The 19,977-nt window shown below is 43.7% G+C and overlaps 1 protein-coding gene and 1 pseudogene across 5 annotated transcripts in view, besides 4 other annotated features; one reads left to right on the top strand and one right to left on the bottom strand.

The window, feature by feature from the left end:
* Positions 875–1,214: a silencer, noted in NCBI's record as "silent region_15053". NCBI's record gives its function as "represses an Ori minimal core promoter by ATAC-STARR-seq in GM12878 lymphoblastoid cells {active_cell/tissue: GM12878}" and the evidence as "EXISTENCE:reporter gene assay evidence [ECO:0000049][PMID:35858748]".
* Positions 1,197–19,977, top strand: part of TFRC (transferrin receptor) — a 32,807-nt gene continuing 14,026 nt past the window's right edge. The window contains exons 1-11 of one of the 5 annotated variants that reach the window (NM_001128148.3): positions 1,197–1,244; positions 6,165–6,223; positions 7,927–8,128; positions 9,162–9,357; positions 11,135–11,284; positions 11,789–11,891; positions 13,719–13,832; positions 15,157–15,255; positions 15,630–15,769; positions 17,687–17,844; positions 18,859–18,978. In NM_001128148.3, coding sequence (NP_001121620.1) covers positions 6,188–6,223; positions 7,927–8,128; positions 9,162–9,357; positions 11,135–11,284; positions 11,789–11,891; positions 13,719–13,832; positions 15,157–15,255; positions 15,630–15,769; positions 17,687–17,844; positions 18,859–18,978 — 1,318 coding nt within the window. In that variant the 5' untranslated portion in view covers positions 1,197–1,244; positions 6,165–6,187. Of the gene's footprint in view, positions 1,457–6,164; positions 6,224–7,926; positions 8,129–9,161; positions 9,358–11,134; positions 11,285–11,788; positions 11,892–13,718; positions 13,833–15,156; positions 15,256–15,629; positions 15,770–17,686; positions 17,845–18,858; positions 18,979–19,977 lie in introns of those variants that run through there. The other 4 variants (NM_003234.4, NM_001313965.2, NM_001313966.2 and 1 more) reach the window with 4 other exon arrangements.
* Positions 1,265–1,564: a silencer, noted in NCBI's record as "silent region_15052". NCBI's record gives its function as "represses an Ori minimal core promoter by ATAC-STARR-seq in GM12878 lymphoblastoid cells {active_cell/tissue: GM12878}" and the evidence as "EXISTENCE:reporter gene assay evidence [ECO:0000049][PMID:35858748]".
* Positions 2,446–2,945: an enhancer, noted in NCBI's record as "H3K4me1 hESC enhancer chr3:195807213-195807712 (GRCh37/hg19 assembly coordinates)". NCBI's record gives its function as "activates a minimal SCP1, AML or CMV promoter by ChIP-STARR-seq in naive H9 embryonic stem cells {active_cell/tissue: H9 hESC(naive)}" and the evidence as "EXISTENCE:reporter gene assay evidence [ECO:0000049][PMID:30033119]".
* Positions 9,945–9,994: a silencer, noted in NCBI's record as "silent region_15051". NCBI's record gives its function as "represses an Ori minimal core promoter by ATAC-STARR-seq in GM12878 lymphoblastoid cells {active_cell/tissue: GM12878}" and the evidence as "EXISTENCE:reporter gene assay evidence [ECO:0000049][PMID:35858748]".
* On the bottom strand, positions 10,409–10,467 carry RNU7-18P (RNA, U7 small nuclear 18 pseudogene; annotated as a pseudogene).

Here is a 19,977-nt window from a genome sequence, read left to right as displayed (position 1 = left end):
GCTGGGATTACAGGCGCGTGCCACTATGCCTGGCTAATTTTTTTTGAAATTTTTTTAGTAGAGATGGGGTTTCACCATATTGGTCAGGCTGGTCTCGAACTCCAGACCTCGTGATCCGCTCACCTCGGCCTCCCAAAGTGTTAGGATTGCAGGCGTGAGCCACCGCGCCTGGCAACTCATATGACTTTTAAACACTTCTCTTTGGGGAGAGAGATTTTAGAGAATGGGAGTAAAGAGAAAGGCGGTGAGAATCCCAAGTACTTTCTCTATCTTAGAGCAGAAGAAATAAAGGGAAGAGTAAAAGCCCAAGGCCCAGAAACGGATTTGCTTCTTAAAGGGCTGTTCTGTGTCCCTACGGGCCTGAAGGTCAGTTTATGTGCAATGCTTTTTAAGGTATGGGTTGCTTTCTTGCATTGTAGCTACTACCTCCCTGGCCTGCTGGTTACTGACCAGAGGGAGGGAGAGGGTGTGATTGTTTGGAAAGAGTTTAAACAGTGACAAGAATTGAATTTTATTTATTTGTTATTCATTGCACAATCCAATAACAGCGATGGCAATGAAAACGAAAGTTAATCTACAATCCTATCACCCTATTAAGTCACTTGTTTCTATTTTCCCTTTTATTCCCTCATGCATTAAACATTACGCAAAGCACTCCGCTAGTCTTGGTTAAAGTGCAGCTTGTATACATTCTGAATAAAAATTTGCATTTTGCTTTTCTTTTCCTTTTTGTATTTCTGAGGCTGCAAAATACATCTTCACAAGAGTGGCTTTAATAGTTACCTAACATTCCATCCTGCACGTACATTTCAAGGCACTGCCGCAGTGCAATATCCAACATTTAAGCGTCAACGCCAACAGATTGGACCTAGCACTGCAGGGACTGGAGGTTGGTCAAGGTCAGGCGGAGGCTGCCAGGCTACCAGGGTGGAGGAAGGCGCCGAGGCAGAGGCCAGTGCGCCCATCGCGCGGCTCCTCGGGGCACCTGCTGCCTTGGCGCCTTTTCCCTTGGCCTTCGCCTCGCCCGCAGCGCCCTCCGCATAGGGCCCCGCCCGCTGCGCGCGCATCCCCGCCCCCCGGGCGATCTGTCAGAGCACCTCGCGAGCGTACGTGCCTCAGGAAGTGACGCACAGCCCCCCTGGGGGCCGGGGGCGGGGCCAGGCTATAAACCGCCGGTTAGGGGCCGCCATCCCCTCAGAGCGTCGGGATATCGGGTGGCGGCTCGGGACGGAGGACGCGCTAGTGTGAGTGCGGGCTTCTAGAACTACACCGACCCTCGTGTCCTCCCTTCATCCTGCGGGGCTGGCTGGAGCGGCCGCTCCGGTGCTGTCCAGCAGCCATAGGGAGCCGCACGGGGAGCGGGAAAGCGGTCGCGGCCCCAGGCGGGGCGGCCGGGATGGAGCGGGGCCGCGAGCCTGTGGGGAAGGGGCTGTGGCGGCGCCTCGAGCGGCTGCAGGTACACGGGGTCGGCGGCTGTGCGCAGAGGCGTCCCTGCGCCTCTCGTCCCTTCGCCTCTCGTCCCTTCCCTTCTCTCTGCCTTCTTGCCCGCCTCCTCGGTCACAGAGCGACGAATGACGAGACCAGGTGTACCCCCACTGTCGCTCTCAGCCCCGGGGACTTCGGGTCCTCGCCCTTGAAGGCCGCAGGCCCTAGTGCGCCGGCTCCGGGCTGCGGGTCCGGGAGCGCGGGCGCAGCCAAGGTGCAGCTGCGCGGCGTGCGGCGCCGGGGGAACACGTGGCTGCTCCAGGAAGTCGCCCCAGGGAACGGCTGGGATTCGTGGGTGACCTTGGGCTCCTAAACCTTCGGTTCCCCGGGCTCCGGGCGGGCCCCGTTCTCACTGCGGAAAGGGACAAAGCTGTCCCCGATTCGGTTACTAGCGTGTTACAGGCATTAATTAGATACGGGTTTCTGTAAACTTACCCTTCGGCTCTGGTACAACCTGATCTTGCCATGCTCTGCCTGTTCGCCTTGTGTGTGGATTCTGTTTTCTCAAGGCAGAATCCGACTGAACGCCGCAGGTGTTCACATTAAGAATATTGCTAGCAGTTCTCACTACAAGACGGGAGCCATAGGAGTGACTTATTTGTGAAAGATACTTGGAGATTAGCGGTGTGGTCAGAGGGCTGTGCTGGATTGATGGGCGCCGGAGAGGCCGATTGTGTCACATTCTGCTGGACAGTTCTTTTAAGGTTGGGAGGGTGGGTAAGAAAATACATTCTGATTCGGCTCTTTTCGGATAACGCTTTCCCTCTGCTTACTGCTTGTAGAGACCTCACTTACCCGGGGGACTGGATTCTGCAGCTTTTTCCATTTTCTTCCCCGTTGATAAGAGGATTAAAGTAGGAAATTGTATTTGGCTACCCCATGCTTATATGCTAAGCTTACTGTGAAAATTAAGGTTAGGCTGTCTAGAGTACTTGTGGACCCTGCTGGTTCCCCCCGCCCCCCGGCCCTGAATTTTGGGTTACAATATGCTTCTCAAGAAAACTCAGAGTTAAGATAATTTTTGTCATCGATTTTGCAAGGTTATATATAGCATAGCATCCTTCAATTTCCTTTGGATGTTCTTATCAAGTAATGGTGGCTGTAAACCTAGCCTGTGTTGAAGATTGTTAGATAGACAGCAGTTTGGCTAACTCCGCCCTAAGGCGAGGCAGTTACTTGCCTCTGATAATGTATTTAAATGTCATGGAGCAAGATTCCCAGCTAAACCTGAATCGATCACAATGCTAGTTAAAAATGACCCTCGGCTGGGCGCATTGGCTCCCGCCTGTAATCCCAGCACTTTGGGAGGCCAAGGCAGGCGGATCACCTAAGGTCAGGAGTTCGAGTCCAGTCTGACTAACATGGTGAAATCCTGTCTCTACTAAAAACACAAAAATTAGCCGGGCATGGTGGCTCACGTCTGTAATTCCAGCACTTTGGGAGGCCGAGGCAGGTGGATCACTTGTGGTGAGGAGTTCGAGACTAGCCTGGCCAACATGGTGAAACCCCGTCTCTACGAAAAATACAAAAATTAGCTGGGCATGGTGGTGCACACCTGTAATCCCAGCCACTCAGGAGGCTGAGGCTCGAGAGTCGCTTTAACCTGGGAGGCAGAGGTTGTAGTGAGCTGAGATCGTGCTACTGCACTCCAGCCTGCGCGACAGCGAGATGCCATCTCAAAAACAACAACAAAAAAACTCCCTACTAAACCAGAAGAGTGATGGGGACGGGAAAAGATTCCTGGTCCAATGTTTTCATTATATTTTTCATATCATTTGGAATCTCATGCATCAGGCATGCCCCAGTACTGTTAAAGACAATATTTTTACTCATTATCAGGTAGTTCAATACCAGTTATTACAGGATAGGGAAGTCAGTCAGAGAAGGCTTCATAGAGATGAAGCCTTGAGCTGAGCCTGGAAGAAATGAGGAGGACCTCAAGGAACAGAGAAGAATGTTGGTGGGTAAAAACAGGGGCTGGATTCTGTCTGATTTTGGAGAAAATAGAGGGTAGTGAAGTTGTTAGGCAGTGAATGTGTTCCATTTCATGGTTCAAAACGTGGGGCTACGTTTTGCCTACCTGAGCTTCATTATTAATGTGAGAAATTGAATTGTTGTTTTCAGTCACCATTGAGAACACCAAAGATAACACAAGTAGCTTAGATTATTATTTATTTATTTATTTTTGACAGAGTTTCACGCTTGTTGCCCAGGCTGTAGTGCAATGGTGTGATCTCGGCTCCCTGCAACCTCCACCTCCCCCAGGTTCAAGTGATTCTCCTGCCTCAGCCTCCCCAGTAGCTGGGATTACAGGCATGCGCCACCATGCCCGGCTAATTTTGTATTTTTTTGGTAGAGATGGGATTTCTCCATGTTTGGTCAGGCTAGTCTCAAACTCTCAACCTCAGGTGATCTGCTCGCCTCGGCCTCCCAAAGTGTTGCTGGGATTACAGGCGTGAGCCACCATGCCCGGCCATCGCTTTGTGTTCTTAAAATTAATTTAAAACAAGAAAACTTGAGGAATGATGGTTCAGATGAGTGTTAAAACTTGCAAGATGTTTTTTCCTAGAAAAGGATGATTAAAATTGGTTCAGGGTGGGGCCTTCCAGTTCTGGCTCTAATGATTGGGTCCTTACTGTTCTGGTGGAGTGGTAGTGATAAGCTTTTTGTAACAGAAGGGGCAAAAGATTGTGCTTCTGGCTGGGCGCAGTGGCTCACGCCTTCGATTTCCTTGGGATGTTCTTATCAAGTAACTAATCTTAGCACTTTGGGAGGCCAGGTGGGTGGATCACCCTAGGTCAGAAGTTCCAGACCAGCCTGGCCAACGTGGTAAAATCCCGTCTCTACTAAAAATACAAAAATTAGCTGGGCATGGTGGTGGGCACCTGTAATCCCAGCTACTCGGAGTCTGAGGTGGGAAAATGGCTTGAACCCGGGAGGGGGAGGTTGCAGTGAGCCGAGATCCTGCCATTGCACTCCAGCCTAGGCAACAAGACCGAAACTCTGTCTCAAGAAAAAAAAAAAGATTATGCTTCTAAGAATATGGTCTATTGCATATGGACACTGGTTTTTAAAGCTTGAATTTAAAAAGAATTTTTTGTAATAGGTTTTAGAGCTTTTTCTTTTTCTTTTTTATTATTTTTTTGAGATGGAGTTTCACTCCGTCACCCAGGCTGGAGTGCAGTGGTGCCATCTCGGCTCACTGCAACCTCCACCTCCCGGGTTCAAGCGATTCTCCTGCCTCAGCCTCCCCAGTAGCTGGGATTACAGGTGCCCACCACCACGCCCATCTAATTTTTGTATTTTTAGTAGAGATGGGGTTTCACCACCTTGGCCAGGCTGGTCTCAAACTCCTGACCTCGTGATCCACCTGCCTCGGCCTCCCAAAGTGTTGGGATTACAGGCATGAGCCACCGTGCCTGGCCAGAAAGCTTTTTCTTAATGCCAGTTATAATACCCTTTGCTTTACAATTTGCGTATACCTCACAGCTTGCTTTGTGCCGTGTGTGTTTAATATGCCCTAAGTGTACTCGTATATAGGAAAAGCTTTAAAATGGTATCCAATAAATGTCCATTTTGCAAATCTCAGGATAATGTCATTTTCAAGTATCTAGATGCCCTCAAACCAAATTAACTGGAAAATTCAGATTTCAGTTAAGGCCTTTAACTTAACTTAGGACTTTGATTACAGAGATGTATTTTGCTTTGACAAAAGTTAAGGTTAATGTCTTAAATTTCCAGAGATGATAACACAATTTCTATAACCCAGTAACCCATTTAACTTCGCTTAGATTATCAATTTTCAGCCTTGAACAGGCCACTTAGTTTCTCTAATAACTGGCCTCTTCATCTGTAAAACAGCGTAATCTGTGTTTCATGTTTCTTCTTGTGTCAAAGATCGAATCACTTGTAGGAACTATTCATTCAGTCAGGATCAGTATTTCTTCCCCTTCCCATTGGAGATGGTTTGTGGTATTTGTAGCATAACTGGTCTTGTCTGCCTTAGTCTTAATTTTGTCTTTTTGTATGTGTCACTTTCTTTTTTTTTTGAGACAGAGTTTTGCTCTTGTTTTCCAGGCTGGAGTGCAGTGGCGCGATCTTGGCTCACTGCAAGCTCCACCTCCTGGGTTCACGCCATTCTCCTGCCTCAGGCTCCCGAGTGGCTGGGATTACAGGCGCCCACCACCACGTCCGGCTAATTTTTGTATTTTTAGTAGAGACAGGGTTTCTCCATGTTGGCCAGGCTGGTCTTGAACTCCTGACCTCAGGTGATCCACCCATCTCAGCCTCCCAAAGTGCTAGGATTACAGGTGTGAGCCACCCCGCCCAGCAGTATGTGTCACTTTTGTCTACTCAGAACATAGTGGTTCGTACTTATAATTGCAGCACTTTGGGAGGCCAAGGTGGGAGGATTGTTTGAGGCCAGGAGTTCAAGACCAGCCTGGGCAACATAGGGTGACCTTGTCTCTACAAAAAGAAAAAAAAAGAATTATGTATATAACAAACTTTAAAAAGGATCCCACTTAATTTAGTTGTCATGTAAACTATGGTTAAATACCTTTTCTAGAAAAGTGATAATGTATTTTAAAAATTTAATGTATCATTTAGCCTGGTAATAGAAAGCTCACTAATCTGATACAGTAGTATCTTTCTCAATAATTCTCTATTCTGATACCTAGGTTCTTCTGTGTGGCAGTTCAGAATGATGGATCAAGCTAGATCAGCATTCTCTAACTTGGTAAGATATTTTCAGTTGTATTTCTGTGTCTGCAAGAATGTGAAATATACAAGCATGACTTTAACTGAGTAAGCATGAAATAATAACCCCAATCTATTATCAGGTATTCATTTACATTTGAATTGGTAGTCTTGAGGCATAACTGATCTCACAAAGAGTTCAGCCTTCAGTAGGGTTAATTATGGAAAGTCTTGGAAGAATTCTCAGAGTGGTTCTGGGTGTGGTAGACGGGGACAGCTTAGTAGATAAGACGAATTAAAGCCCTGATCAAAATGTTTTAGTAGGAGAAGTAAAAAGCAAAGGCTTGCGGGGCGCTGTGGCTCACGCCTGTAATCCCAGCACTTTGGGAGGCTGAGGTGGGTGGATCACCTGTGGTCAGGAGTTCAAGACCAGCCTGACCAACATGGTGAAACTCGGTCTCTACTAAAAATACAAAAAAAAAAAAAATTAGCTGAGTGTCATGGCGCATGCCTGTAGTCCCAGCTACTTGGGAGGCTGAGGCAGGAGAATTGCTTGAACCCGGGAGGCGGAGGTTGCAATGAGCTGAGATCACGCCATTGCACTCCAGCCTGGGCAACAGAGTGAGACTCCGTCTCAAAAAAAAAAAAAAAAGCAAAGGCTGAATGAGGCCAAGTGTGGTGGCTCACTCCCGCAATCCCAGCAGTTTGGGAGGTGAGGCAGGAGGATCACTTGAGGAGTTTGAGACTTGCCTGGGCAACATAGCAAGCCCATCTCTATTAAAAAAAAAATGAAATTTTAAGAAACATTGAGTAGACAGTATGAGTGAAAGCTGAAAGAACATACAAAAAAAACAGCCATCCAGGCCATGACGAGAAGGAGCCTAACTCTTAACACTCTGTCTAGACCTCAATTCTCTCTTATTTGTATTTATTTATTTATTTATTTTTATTTTATTTTTTGAGATGGAGTCTCAGCCTGGGCTCTGTTGCCCAGGTTGGAATGCAGTGTGCAATCTTAGCTCACTGTAACCTCCGCCTCCTGAGTTCAAGCGATTCTCCTGCCTCAGCCTCCTGGGTGGCTGAGATTACAGGCGTGCGACACCATGCCCAGCTAGTGGTTTTTTTTTTTTTGAATTTTTAGTGAGAGGGGATTTCACCATGTTGGTCAGGCTTGTCTCAAACTTCTGACCATAAATGATCTGTGTGCCTCGGCCCCCCCCAGAGTGCTGGGATTACAGGCATGAGCCACTGTGTCTGGTCTATTCTCTCTTTTCTGTCTTCTATCTTATGCTTAGTCAGAATTTCTGCTTATTTATAACTTTGTTTTATTCTTGCTCCCTTGCTCCCACCAACATCATGGTCTGGGTTACTGCATAGTATCCTGAACTGATTTGTGCCCCTAGTCCCAGCTACTCAGGAGGCTGAGGTGGGGGAATCAGTAGAGCCCAGGATTTTGAGGCTGCAGTGAGCTGTGATCACACCACTGTACTCCATCCTGGGAGAGAGAGGGAGACCTTGTCTCAAAAAAAAAAAAAAATTTACAAAAAGGGAGAGACTGACTGAGAAGACCAGTGTGAACTAGCCCTTGACTGGGCCCAGGGAAGAATGTTGGTTTGAAAGGAGAACACCCTAAGGAATATATAGCAAGTTATAGTAATGGCCCAATAACAAGCATATACCTAAACGAGCTTTTCCTAAACATTCCCGTGCCTGTTCTTCATCATGCCTTTTTCCGCAACACAGTTTGGTGGAGAACCATTGTCATATACCCGGTTCAGCCTGGCTCGGCAAGTAGATGGCGATAACAGTCATGTGGAGATGAAACTTGCTGTAGATGAAGAAGAAAATGCTGACAATAACACAAAGGCCAATGTCACAAAACCAAAAAGGTGTAGTGGAAGTATCTGCTATGGGACTATTGCTGTGATCGTCTTTTTCTTGATTGGTGAGAATGACCATTCCAAACTTCAATGTTTTCTATAACCAACTCTGGGAAGTCTGTTATGTCAGCTCAGCATATAGTTATTTTGTACCTTATTTTTTTTTTTTTTTTTTTTGGAGACAGAGGCTTACTCTCTTGCCTAGGCTAGAGTGCAGTGGCACCATGTTGGCTCACTGCAACCTCAGCCTCCCAGGTTTAAGCGATTCTCTGCCTTAGCCTCCTGAGTAGCTGGGACTATAGGCGCCCACGACCACACCTGGCTAATTTTTTTTTTTTTTTTTTTGAGTTGGAGTCTCACTCTGTGGCTCAGGCTGGAGTGCAGTGGCGTGATTTCGGCTCACTGCAATCTCCGCCTCCCAGGTTCAAGCGATTCTTCTGCCTCAGCCTCCTGAGGAGCTGGGACTACAGGCGTGCACCACCACACCTGGCTAATTTTTGTATTTTTAGTAGAGACGGGGTTTCACCATGTTGGTCAGGCTGGTCTCTAACTCCTGACCTCGTGATCTGCCCGCCTCAGCCTCCCAGAGTGCTGGGATTACAGGCATGAGCCACTTTCCCGTCCACTTTATGCCTTTTTAAGTGCCACTAGGAAGACAATCATGAGTAGATTCTATACCTGTCATTGAATTTAATCTGGTTGGAAAGAGAGACCCATGAATTATTTCAATACGACGTGCAAGTGTTTTCTTTTTATTTATGTATTTTTTTGTTTGCTCCCACTCCACCAGGAAGCAAATGCTACGCTAGAAAATATCCGCAGGACACTGGCGGTGCAGCAGCTCAGTCTCATGTTTCAAGGGGGTCTTTTGGAAAAAACTACCTATGTTTTGAATAGGTAGCTATTTGAAATAAAGCTAGTATATAATTTATTAAGTGGTTTAAAGTATACAAAACTGAGATGCATTATATACTTTAAAACTACTTAGAATTTGATGAAAACCAGTATTTTCAAGGCTTACCTGAAAATATTAACAGATTAACAGGGATAGATTACAAATGAAATTCTGAGTTCAGCTCTGGAACTTTGTCTCTTTAGGATTTATGATTGGCTACTTGGGCTATTGTAAAGGGGTAGAACCAAAAACTGAGTGTGAGAGACTGGCAGGAACCGAGTCTCCAGTGAGGGAGGAGCCAGGAGAGGACTTCCCTGCAGCACGTCGCTTATATTGGGATGACCTGAAGAGAAAGTTGTCGGAGAAACTGGACAGCACAGACTTCACCGGCACCATCAAGTGAGTGCCAGCTGCTGTGCAAGTATCTAGACAAGTAATTCAAGAATTATGATAGGCCACGGGGAAACAATAATGGTGACACTGTGGGGAATGGCTTGTTAGAGAAGACAAGACTTGTCATGTTTAGCTAAAGAGGGGAAGGGGCCTGTAAAAAACTGAAACTATACTGGTAGGGGAAAAGGTAGAACTTCTCTGGGGAGTCTCCTTTTTCTTAAAAAATTAATAGGCCCTTGATGTTTTCCCCATCTTTGTAGCTTATTGCTTGCTGTCATTCTCTGGCTCTGATTTTTCTTCTTAACCTCTTGTAACGTTGTACTAAGCTCTGCTTTGCTGACAAGGACATCAGTAGCTTTTCTCTGTTTTAGGAAGCAACACATGCCAGAAGTAGCCTTTTTCATCTCCTTGATCATGGGTAACTGCCTGCCTTAAGTCTCTAGTGCTTCTTAATTTCTGTGATACTCACCCATTAACCCCTAGGCCAGTCAGTATCCAGAGACAATGTCTCCCTCTGGTGGAGGCTGGAATACGGTGGCGTGCTCTCATCTCACCGCAGCTTCATCCCCCTACCATAGCCTCCTGAGTAGCTGGGACTATAAGCACGCAGCACCACACCCAGCTAATTTTTTTTTTTTTTTTTTTAAGAGATGGAGTCTCACCATGTCTCCCAGGCCGGTCTGTTCTTAGATTTTTATTTATTTACTTATTTATTTTGAGATGGAGTCTTACGTGTTGCCCAGGCTGGAGTGCAGTGGCACGATTTCAGCTCAGTGCAACCTCTGTCTCCCAGGTTTAAGCAATTCTCCTACCTCAGTCTCCTGAGTAGCTGAGATCACAGGCTTGTACCACCATGCTCTGCTAATTTTTGTGGGTTTTTTTTTTTTTTTTTTTTTTTTGCAGAAACGGGATTTCACCATGTTGGCCAGGCTGGTGTCTAACTCCTGACCTCAGATGATCCTCCTGTCTTGGCTCCCAAAGTGCTGGAATTACAGGATGAGGCACTGCACCTGGCCAAATTTCTATTTTATATTTATTTATTTATTTTATTTGTAATGGGCTTTCTGGCAAAAACTAGAAAGCATGCTAGACAAATTCTAAAAGAGCTGTAACACTTGTCCATAGAGTTTTACTATCTTTGCACATACATGCCTCTGTGCAAAGAATAAATTTATCTTTTCCTTTTTGCAAGCTTCCTACACTTACAGTGGTACTATAATTCTTTAGTCTTAAGTTATGGCATTTTCTACTTCATCTAGTTGATGCTTTTGTGTTTATTTACTGTACACCAGACCTTATGGTTAAAGTGAGAGTATAGTCCACCCCACAAAAATGTAAGAACTAATATGCTGAGTAAATAGAAAGAAGTATGGGAGATCGGACCAAGGAGCAGTTCTGCTTCAGGGTATTCAGATGCTTCACAAGTAGGTGAGAATTGAAACTATGCACTCTGTTCAGCACAGTATTACTATCTTAGATTTTATAGTAGATCTGGAAGCTACTCATTTCCCCTAAAACTATCCTAAGCAGATACATTGTGTTATGATGAGGCTCTTGAAGGAGTGCTTTGTAGTGGGTAAAGAAGCTTTGAAGTTACAAGATTTGGGGCAAAATTTTTTTTCTTTTGTGATATTCTGGTCAGTCTAGAAGTTTTGGGTCACAGTTCATTTATCTGAACTATGAGGGATAATATTTTGCTTTCAAAACAATTTGTTTAATCCTTGACTTAAATGTTTATTTTAAAGTAAACTTAAGTTCATTTAAAAGGCATTTTCTCCTCCAGGCTGCTGAATGAAAATTCATATGTCCCTCGTGAGGCTGGATCTCAAAAAGATGAAAATCTTGCGTTGTATGTTGAAAATCAATTTCGTGAATTTAAACTCAGCAAAGTCTGGCGTGATCAACATTTTGTTAAGATTCAGGTCAAAGACAGGTATGTTGAAAGATGGTAAACTTATTTTTATACAAGTAGCTATTTTCAGGTGTGCTAAATATAGCAAAGACTTTTTGTTAGTGTTGTTGGCTTTTTTTTGAAATGGAGTCTCGCTCTGTTGCCCAGGCTGGAGTGCAGTGGCACAATCTCTGCTCACTGCAGCCTTTGCCTTCTGGGTTCAAGTGATTCTCCTGCCTTAGCCTCCAGAGCAGCTGGGATTACAGGCGCACGCCACCACGCCCAGCTAATTTTTGTATTTTTAGTAGAGGTGGGATGGTCTCGAACTTTTGACCTCAGGTGATCAGCCCGCCTGGGCCTCCCAAAGTGCTGGGATTACAGGCGTGAGCCACCGCATGCGGCCCAAAGGCTTTTAAAATAAAAATCAAGCTTAAGATTTAGAGGTAAATTTCCTCAAGCCAAATAATGCAAGACATACTAAATGTAAGCTATTGTGTTTTTTGGAAGGATGACCTTAGGCTTATTTTAACTTAATCTTTTTAACAGCGCTCAAAACTCGGTGATCATAGTTGATAAGAACGGTAGACTTGTTTACCTGGTGGAGAATCCTGGGGGTTATGTGGCGTATAGTAAGGCTGCAACAGTTACTGTAAGTAAAGCAAAACAGTGCATGAGACTCTTCCCTATTGAATCATTCAAAACTCATCTTTTCTGTTCTTAGGAGTTATAAATTTACCTGTAAAATGTAAATGATCATGAGATATTTTGGTTTTCAACCCTCTAATGACACAGTCAACATGCATTGTCTTCTCTCTCTAATCACTTTCCCCATGTCCTGTTTTATTTTTTCTTTATAGTACTGCTAGCAGCTGACATTATCTATGCCTTTGTTTCCATTAGAATGTGAGCCAGATGAAGAATCATGGGTTAGTTCTATTTACTGCCATGTTGCAGAGCTTTGGAGAATGCCTGACATACATAGTAGTATTTGCTAAACAAATGCATATCCTCCCTGTGGGGACAGATGTAAATATCCATCTTGGCTGGGGCCTAGTCTTAGCTTGATTCGTTAATGCTTGATCTTTTTCTATTTTTGTTTTGAGACAGGGTGTCACTCTGTTGCCCTAGCTGGAGTGCAGTGGCGTGAGCTTGGCTCACTGCATTCTCCACCACCACCCAGGCTCAAGTGAGCCTCTTGAGTAGCTGAGATGTCCAGTTAATTTTTATTTTTTATTTTATTATTATTATTATTATTATTATTATTATTATTTGGTAGAGACAGGGTTTTGCCATGTTGGCCAGGCTGGTCTTCAATTGAAACTCCTGGGCTCAGGTGATTCACCACCCTCAGCCTCCCAAAGTGCTGGGATTACAGGAGGAAGCTGCTTCGCCCAGCCCTTGATCTTTTTAAATTTAGGCAAATATAGTCAAATTAACACAGAAATAGAGAACAGATAGATAGAATAATTTTCAGCTTAAAAATCACATTTGTGGCTGGGCGTGGTGGCTCACGCCTGTAATCCCAGCACTTTGGGAGTCCAAGGTGGGTGGATCACCTAAGGTCAGAGCTACCAGCCTGGCCAACATGGTGAACTCTATTAAAAATACAAAAATTAGCCAGGCGTGGTGGTGGGTGCCTGTAATCCCAGCTACTTGGGAGGCTGGGGCAGGAGAATCGCTTGAAGCCAGGAGGTGGAGGTTGCAGTGAGCGGATATTGCGCCATTGCACTCCAGCCTGAGCAACAAAAGCGAAATTCCATCTCAAAAAAAAAAAAAAAATCACATTTGTAAGTCAGGCGTATCTCTAGTGGATACCTTTCGGGGCTGGTGCAGTTCTGTGTTGATTCCTTGCCTTTCTGGATACTTGTGCTTTATCCCTTTGCCTGGCTGCCTATAAGCCAGGAGTTTAGAGATGGGTAGGTTGTTCTGTTAAAGAACATTGAAGATTTTTGTTCAACTTCAAGCTTTCTGTATTGAGGGCTTGGTTGTTAGTGTCAGTTTATGGCTGTTCATCTGGACTCTTATGAGCTTAGGAACATCATGACACATCTAAAGTTGGTGTATGCAAGTCACTTTGTTGTAATAGATGGTGTTTTAATTTTGGGACAGATTTATTATCAGACCTTTCAGTTAAAACCTATTTCTATGATGTCCTCAAGGCTAAGATTGTTCCAGGCCTCCAGTCCCATGACCAGCCTACATAGGCCTCTTTAATCTAAATGCCCTTCAGATGAAAGGCAGCATGGGATAAAAGCATGAAAGACATAGGAGGCCAAAAATCTTGATTTTATTCCAATAGCTCTGACCTAAAAGTTGTAAAGTTTTTTAGAACTCATGTCTTTTTTAGGCCTTGGCCTCCTTTTATCTCTTACTTGGGTTGCCTGTCTTAGGTTTGATCTATAACACTCTTCTGTCTCAAGATTTTAGAGCTGTTCCGATACCATAATGCTCATTAAATCTAATGTCTTTGTTCTAGGGTAAACTGGTCCATGCTAATTTTGGTACTAAAAAAGATTTTGAGGATTTATACACTCCTGTGAATGGATCTATAGTGATTGTCAGAGCAGGGAAAATCACCTTTGCAGAAAAGGTGAGTATGAGTTATTATAATATTAAATACAGTACTTTTGGTATCTTACTCTTCAGGTAAGTGATATTTCTTGTTAATATTCTTACATTCTGAAAATCAGCAATCTTAAACTCTCATACCAGATAATATAATTTATTAAAATGCTCAACAAATGAAGTAAGTTCCACTTACCTAATCAGAAGTGCTTAAGTGAAAGCTATTTCTCTGTATAACTCAGTTTTACGCATATACAGAATTCAGCTAAAAGCATGTTTTATAAAAAGGAAAATTAATAGCCAAACATACACAAGGAACTAGAGTGGAACATATCAAAAGACAGTGGTGATTTCTGCATTTTTAAAAAAAGTGGCAGGGCTCACACCTGTAATCCCAACACTTTAGGAGGCTGAGGTGGGAGGACTGCTTGAGCCCTGGAGGTTGTGAGATGTGACTCGTGCCACTCCAGCCTGAGTGACAGTGAGACTCAAAAAAGTGGTTGTCTTAGATGGGTTTTTGTTATTTTTCTTTTCTTTTTTTTTTTTTTTTTTGAGACGGAGTCTCTTGTCACCCTGGCTGGAGTGCAGTGGCGTGATCTCAGCTCACTGCAACCTCCGCCTCCCAGGTTCAAGTGATGCTCCTGCCTCAGCCTTCTGAGTAGCTGGGATTACAGGTGCCCACCACCACCATGCCTGGCTAATTTTTGCATTTTTAGTAGAGACAGGGTTTCACGACGTTGGCCTGGCTGGTCTTGAACTCCTGACGTCAGGTGATCCACCTGCCTTGGCCTCCCAGATTGCTGGGATTACAGGTGTGAGCCACCACTCCTGGCCTTTGTTATTCTTTTTTTTTTTTTTTTTTTTTTTTTGAGAGGGAGTTTTGCTCTTTTGTCCAGGCTGGAGTGCAGTGGCGCAATTTTGGCTCACTGCAACCTCTGCCTTATGGTTTCAAGCGATTCTCCTGCCTCAGCTTCCCAAATAGCTGGGAATACAGGCGCCAGCCACTGCGCCCAGTTAATTTTTGTATTTTTAGTAGAGACAGGGTTTCACCATGTTGGCCAGGCTGGTCTCGAACTCCTGAGCTTGTGATCCCCCTGCCTCAGCCTTGCAAGGTGTTGGGATTACAGGCGTGAGCCACCACTCCTGGCCCGTTACTCTTATTTTGCAAACAAGTGAGTTAATTTTTCAGGAAGCAATTAATAAATTACCAGATAAACAATTTGAAATATTTGGAAGTATTATAAGTTTAGTCCTCTGTAACCATTTGGCCTTTAGCATAATGTCCAGGATGTATTCTCATTTCGTATGATCAGATCTTCATTTTCTGAGCTTTATATGTTTTCTTTTAGGTTGCAAATGCTGAAAGCTTAAATGCAATTGGTGTGTTGATATACATGGACCAGACTAAATTTCCCATTGTTAACGCAGAACTTTCATTCTTTGGACATGTGAGTTATTTCTTGAGTAAATCACCGTTTTGAGTTCCTTGAGTTGTTCTTGGATTCCTGTATTAGCAGAAATAGCACTGTGTCTTCCTTAACTGCTCTTTTTTCTGGGAGGGCGTTAGCAGTAAGCAAGAAGATAGATTACATTGACTTTGAGGCTTTATTATTTGTTGCTAAAAGTACTTTGTCAATAGTGCCTTGAATTTGAGAATTTCCATATGCCATGAAAACAGGAGTCACATTGTAGAGCCACTCAGATTTTTGAGGCTTCAAGTTGGTAAACTAAGGTTGGGCTGCAGCCTTATACCAAACCTGAATCTTACAGAGAAGTTTTGAGGAAGTATGTGATGGAGTGAATTGCTCTTTTGTTTTCCTAGGCTCATCTGGGGACAGGTGACCCTTACACACCTGGATTCCCTTCCTTCAATCACACTCAGTTTCCACCATCTCGGTCATCAGGATTGCCTAATATACCTGTCCAGACAATCTCCAGAGCTGCTGCAGAAAAGCTGTTTGGGTAAGTTTTTATTTGAAAGCGGTCTTGCATAGTGAGGTTTTATGATTAGGGAAGAACGGTAATATGTTGATTAAAATGTTAAACATGATGATAATTTTCCACATTTGGGAATTTGGAGGATGGTTAGCTGTTACCTTGGTACAGATATAAATGAATTTTTCTCTATAAAGAGATCTTAATAATGGACTTTGGACTTATAAACACAGGAGAATAAGGAGACTTATAAACCCAGTGAATTCCTTGTGCAAGATTCCTGGCATAGCTTCTGCTCAAGTACTTCTGTGCTGAAGCACGATGCCTATAGCAGCCCATTCAGTTAGTAGAGAGAATCTGTTAGAATTCATATTGGGATAAAATCCTATTCCCCGAAACATCCATTTGTCTGGATTTTTCTTCTAAGCAATACGGTATGATTCCAGTTACCTTGTCTATAGATTGAGAAGCCTTGCTTCTTATGATGGTTTCCAGAGAAACCATTTATGGTTGTGGCTCGCTCCTCTGGATATCCTCCCTGTAACGTTAGTGTCTCTCTTTAAAAACAGAGCCCAGTTCCATTAGAGTACGTAGCATTAATTTTGATTTGGATGTGGACATATTTATCATTTCCTGTTATTACAGGATGGAGATCTAGTTTCAGGCCTTTATGAAAGCATTTATCTCCTGTATGACATAGGTTCTCTGATCCTGTTTCTTTAACATAATTGGATAGTGAAAATATATTCTACTTGATAGTCTCAAATGAAGAACATCTGTATATAAGGAGTATATGAAATACCATGACTGTTGATCATGCTGAGAGGCCTTTAGCATAGGGGAGTGTGTAACATACCATGACTATTGATAACGCTAAGAGGCATTTAGCATAGGTGATTTTTTTGACTCATTCTACCTACCACCTACAAATCGTAACCAACCTGTGAAGCCAGCGTCCCATCTTATCCTTATGTAGTAGGGGAGTAATAATGTTTCAACCTATATTTATGTAAGTAAGCCCCCTTAGGAGCAGCTATTATTTGGGTAACACAGAGGAATTAGATAGGGGAAGCACAAGATTTTTTTTTTATTTTGACAGTCTCACTCTGTTGCCCAGGCAGGAGTGCAGTGGCATGATCCTGGCTCACTGCAACCTCCACCTCCTGGGTTCAAGGAATTCTGCCTCGGCCTTCCAAAGTGCTGGGATTACAGGCGTGAGCCACCGCACCCAGCTGAGGAATATTTTTTATAACTGAGCTAAGAATGTGTACTATCCTTGTTAGTGGTGACAGTTGGGAAACATAAAAGTGTATTAATATTCTTTTATATATTAGAAGAACTTCATTTTGAGTCCATCTTGGTATGTATTCCAAATATAAACTACGTAAGTATGTCTGGCAGAAAGGCGCATAGTTAGAGAAGTGTTTTAAAATATTGCTTAATTAATGGTTTCCAATTGGCTGCCTGCAGATCAAAGTAAGACGCAAATGGTTCACCACTAGAGAGTAAGTTTTTTTTTGTTTTTATTTTGTTTTGTTTTGTTTTGTTTTTTTTTGAGACAGGACTTGTGCTCTGTTGCCCAGGCTGGAGTGCAGTGGCGTGATCTCGGCTCACTGCAGCCTCCGCCTCCCAGGTTCAAGCGATTCTCCTCCTCATCCTCCTTAGTAGCTGGGATTACAGGCGCATGCCACCATGCCCAGTTAATTTTTGTATTTTTAGTAGAGTCGGGGTTTCACCATGTCGGTCAGGCTGGTCTTGAACTCCTGACCTTGTGATCCACCTGCCTCAGCCTCCCAAAGTGCTGGGATTACAGGGGTGAGCCACTTCGCCGGGCTGAGAGTAAGTTTTGTTTATATGTCCTCTTAATCTGTAACTTCACTGGACAGGAGTAAACCCTGGGCAAGGAACAATAACTCAGAACTTACGCCTGCTTTCTGATTCTAGGAATATGGAAGGAGACTGTCCCTCTGACTGGAAAACAGACTCTACATGTAGGATGGTAACCTCAGAAAGCAAGAATGTGAAGCTCACTGTGAGCAATGTGCTGAAAGAGATAAAAATTCTTAACATCTTTGGAGTTATTAAAGGCTTTGTAGAACCAGGTAAAGACCGCCCCCCCCCCCCCCCGCCCCGCTTTTTTTTTGTTTTCTTTTCTGTTCCTAAGGATGTGGCTAGAGAAGGAGCGAGTGTAGGAATGCTGGCTTGGCTTGGTTTTATGAAGTGCTCAATCTTGTCTGTCCTAAAGTTAATTGTTTATGTGTTAGTTTCTTTTTTTTTTTTTTGAGAAAGAGTTTCACTCTTGTTGCCCAGGCTGGAGTGCAGTGGTGTGATCTCGGCTCACTGCAATTTCCGCCTCCCAGGTTCAAGCCATTCTCCTGCCTCAGCCTCCCCAGTAGCTGGGATTACAGGCATGCGCCACCACGCCTGGCTAATTTTGTATTTTTAGTAGAGACAGGGTTTCTCCATGTTGGTCAGGCTCCATGAGGTCAGAGCTCCTGACCTCAGGTGATCTGCCTCCCTCAGCCTCCCAAAGTGCTGGGATTACAGGCATGAGCCACCGCGCCCAGCCTATGTGTCAGTTTTATTGGGAGGTAATAAGGCCCTAGGAAATTCTTGTTAAAAATTGACCATTATGACTAGAAAATCTATTCTAAGTTATTGACTAGACCAGTGATAAGCAAATTTCTTAAGGGGGCAGATAATAAACCTTTTGCCAGGCTATACAGTCTCTCTTTTAGCTGTTCAACTCTGTGGGAGCAAGAAAACAGGCACAGACTGTGCGTAGTGAATGGGCATGCGGGCTGTAGTTTGCCAGTCCCTGGAGTTAACTTTAAATGCAATCAAACAGCCAACACTTACTAAGAAATAAGTCCTTGGACTTAAGTAGTCAGTAAATTTAATTAGTAGTGTAGGAAAAAAGTAGCTCTACTAGTAAGGTAAAATTAATATTCTCATGTGAATTTTTAATTCCCAGAGTTTTTAGTCAGATTTGAAGTAAGGCTCTTTTATCCTTAATACATATACTGTGCTTTTACCTTTCTACTGATGTGCTAATTCTAGAAAAGTTTAGAAGCTGATTATATAAGTTCTTTCTTCCTCTTTTTTCTTTTTTAAAGATCACTATGTTGTAGTTGGGGCCCAGAGAGATGCATGGGGCCCTGGAGCTGCAAAATCCGGTGTAGGCACAGCTCTCCTATTGAAACTTGCCCAGATGTTCTCAGATATGGTCTTAAAAGGTAGAGTACAAATTTTGATTCTTTTGAATATTGGTGCACTGCATACAGTTCTAGATGTTATACTGTGCTTTGCTCACTTTGCCTGCATTCCTGTGGTTCTCATGCTAGACTCTAGTTCTTAAATACAAGGCAGATTGTCTTTTGTTGTAGCTGCCTTTTCCTTTGAAACAGCTTTCCATAAAGTGTCTTAACTGTGCTAGAAATCACCAGTTTCTTTGAGACAGTGGAGTTACTGAGCCCTAGTGCTTAGTGTGGTGGATCCAGAGTGATAAGGTGGATCATAGTCCCTAAGCAATCTATTTGAAAGCAGTAGCATACCTCTCTACTCATGTACTGAGGCCTAACAGCTATTGAAATTTTGTTCTGTTTATTCATTTATTCATTTTTTGAGACAGAGTTTCACTCTGTTGCCCAGGCTGGAGTGCAGTGGTGTGATCTCACTTAGCTCACTGCAACCTCTGCCTCCCGACTTCAAGCAATTCTCCTGCCTCAGCCTCCTGAGTAGCTGGGATTACAGGCACCCACAACCACACCCGGCCAATTTTTGTATTTTTACTAGAGACAGGGTTTCGCCATGTTGGCCAGGCTAGTCTCCTGACCTCAAGTGATTCACCCGCCTCAGCCTCCCAAAATGCTGCTAGTGAGCCACCGTGCCCTGCCTCTTTTGTTTATTTTTGAGCCTTTCTGTCCTACTTTCCACTCTTTCACACTCCTACCCACCCACACATTCAAAATCACGTCACATTCTTGAATCTTTGGGTCTTAGGGCAAACTGCAATGCTTAACTTTAATACAGAGTACATTAATGGAGAAAAAGATACAGTGAGGGAAGTGGGAGGGATGGAGGGCAGTGTGATACATGTAACCTCAAAAGGTGCTGTCACAAATATAGTTTCTCTGCAAACTCTTCTTGTAACTTAAATTTGTGAATTTTTATTTTATTTTAGAATTATTTTTTTAAAAATCCAATGTTTGGATTTACCTCTGAAGATTTTTCTC

This window comes from Homo sapiens, chromosome 3 (assembly GCF_000001405.40).
Source record: "Homo sapiens chromosome 3, GRCh38.p14 Primary Assembly".
NCBI classification, from domain to species: Eukaryota; Metazoa; Chordata; class Mammalia; order Primates; family Hominidae; genus Homo; species Homo sapiens.
The sequence above is the reverse complement of the archived record's forward strand: the minus strand, read 5'-3'. Positions and strand labels throughout refer to the sequence as shown.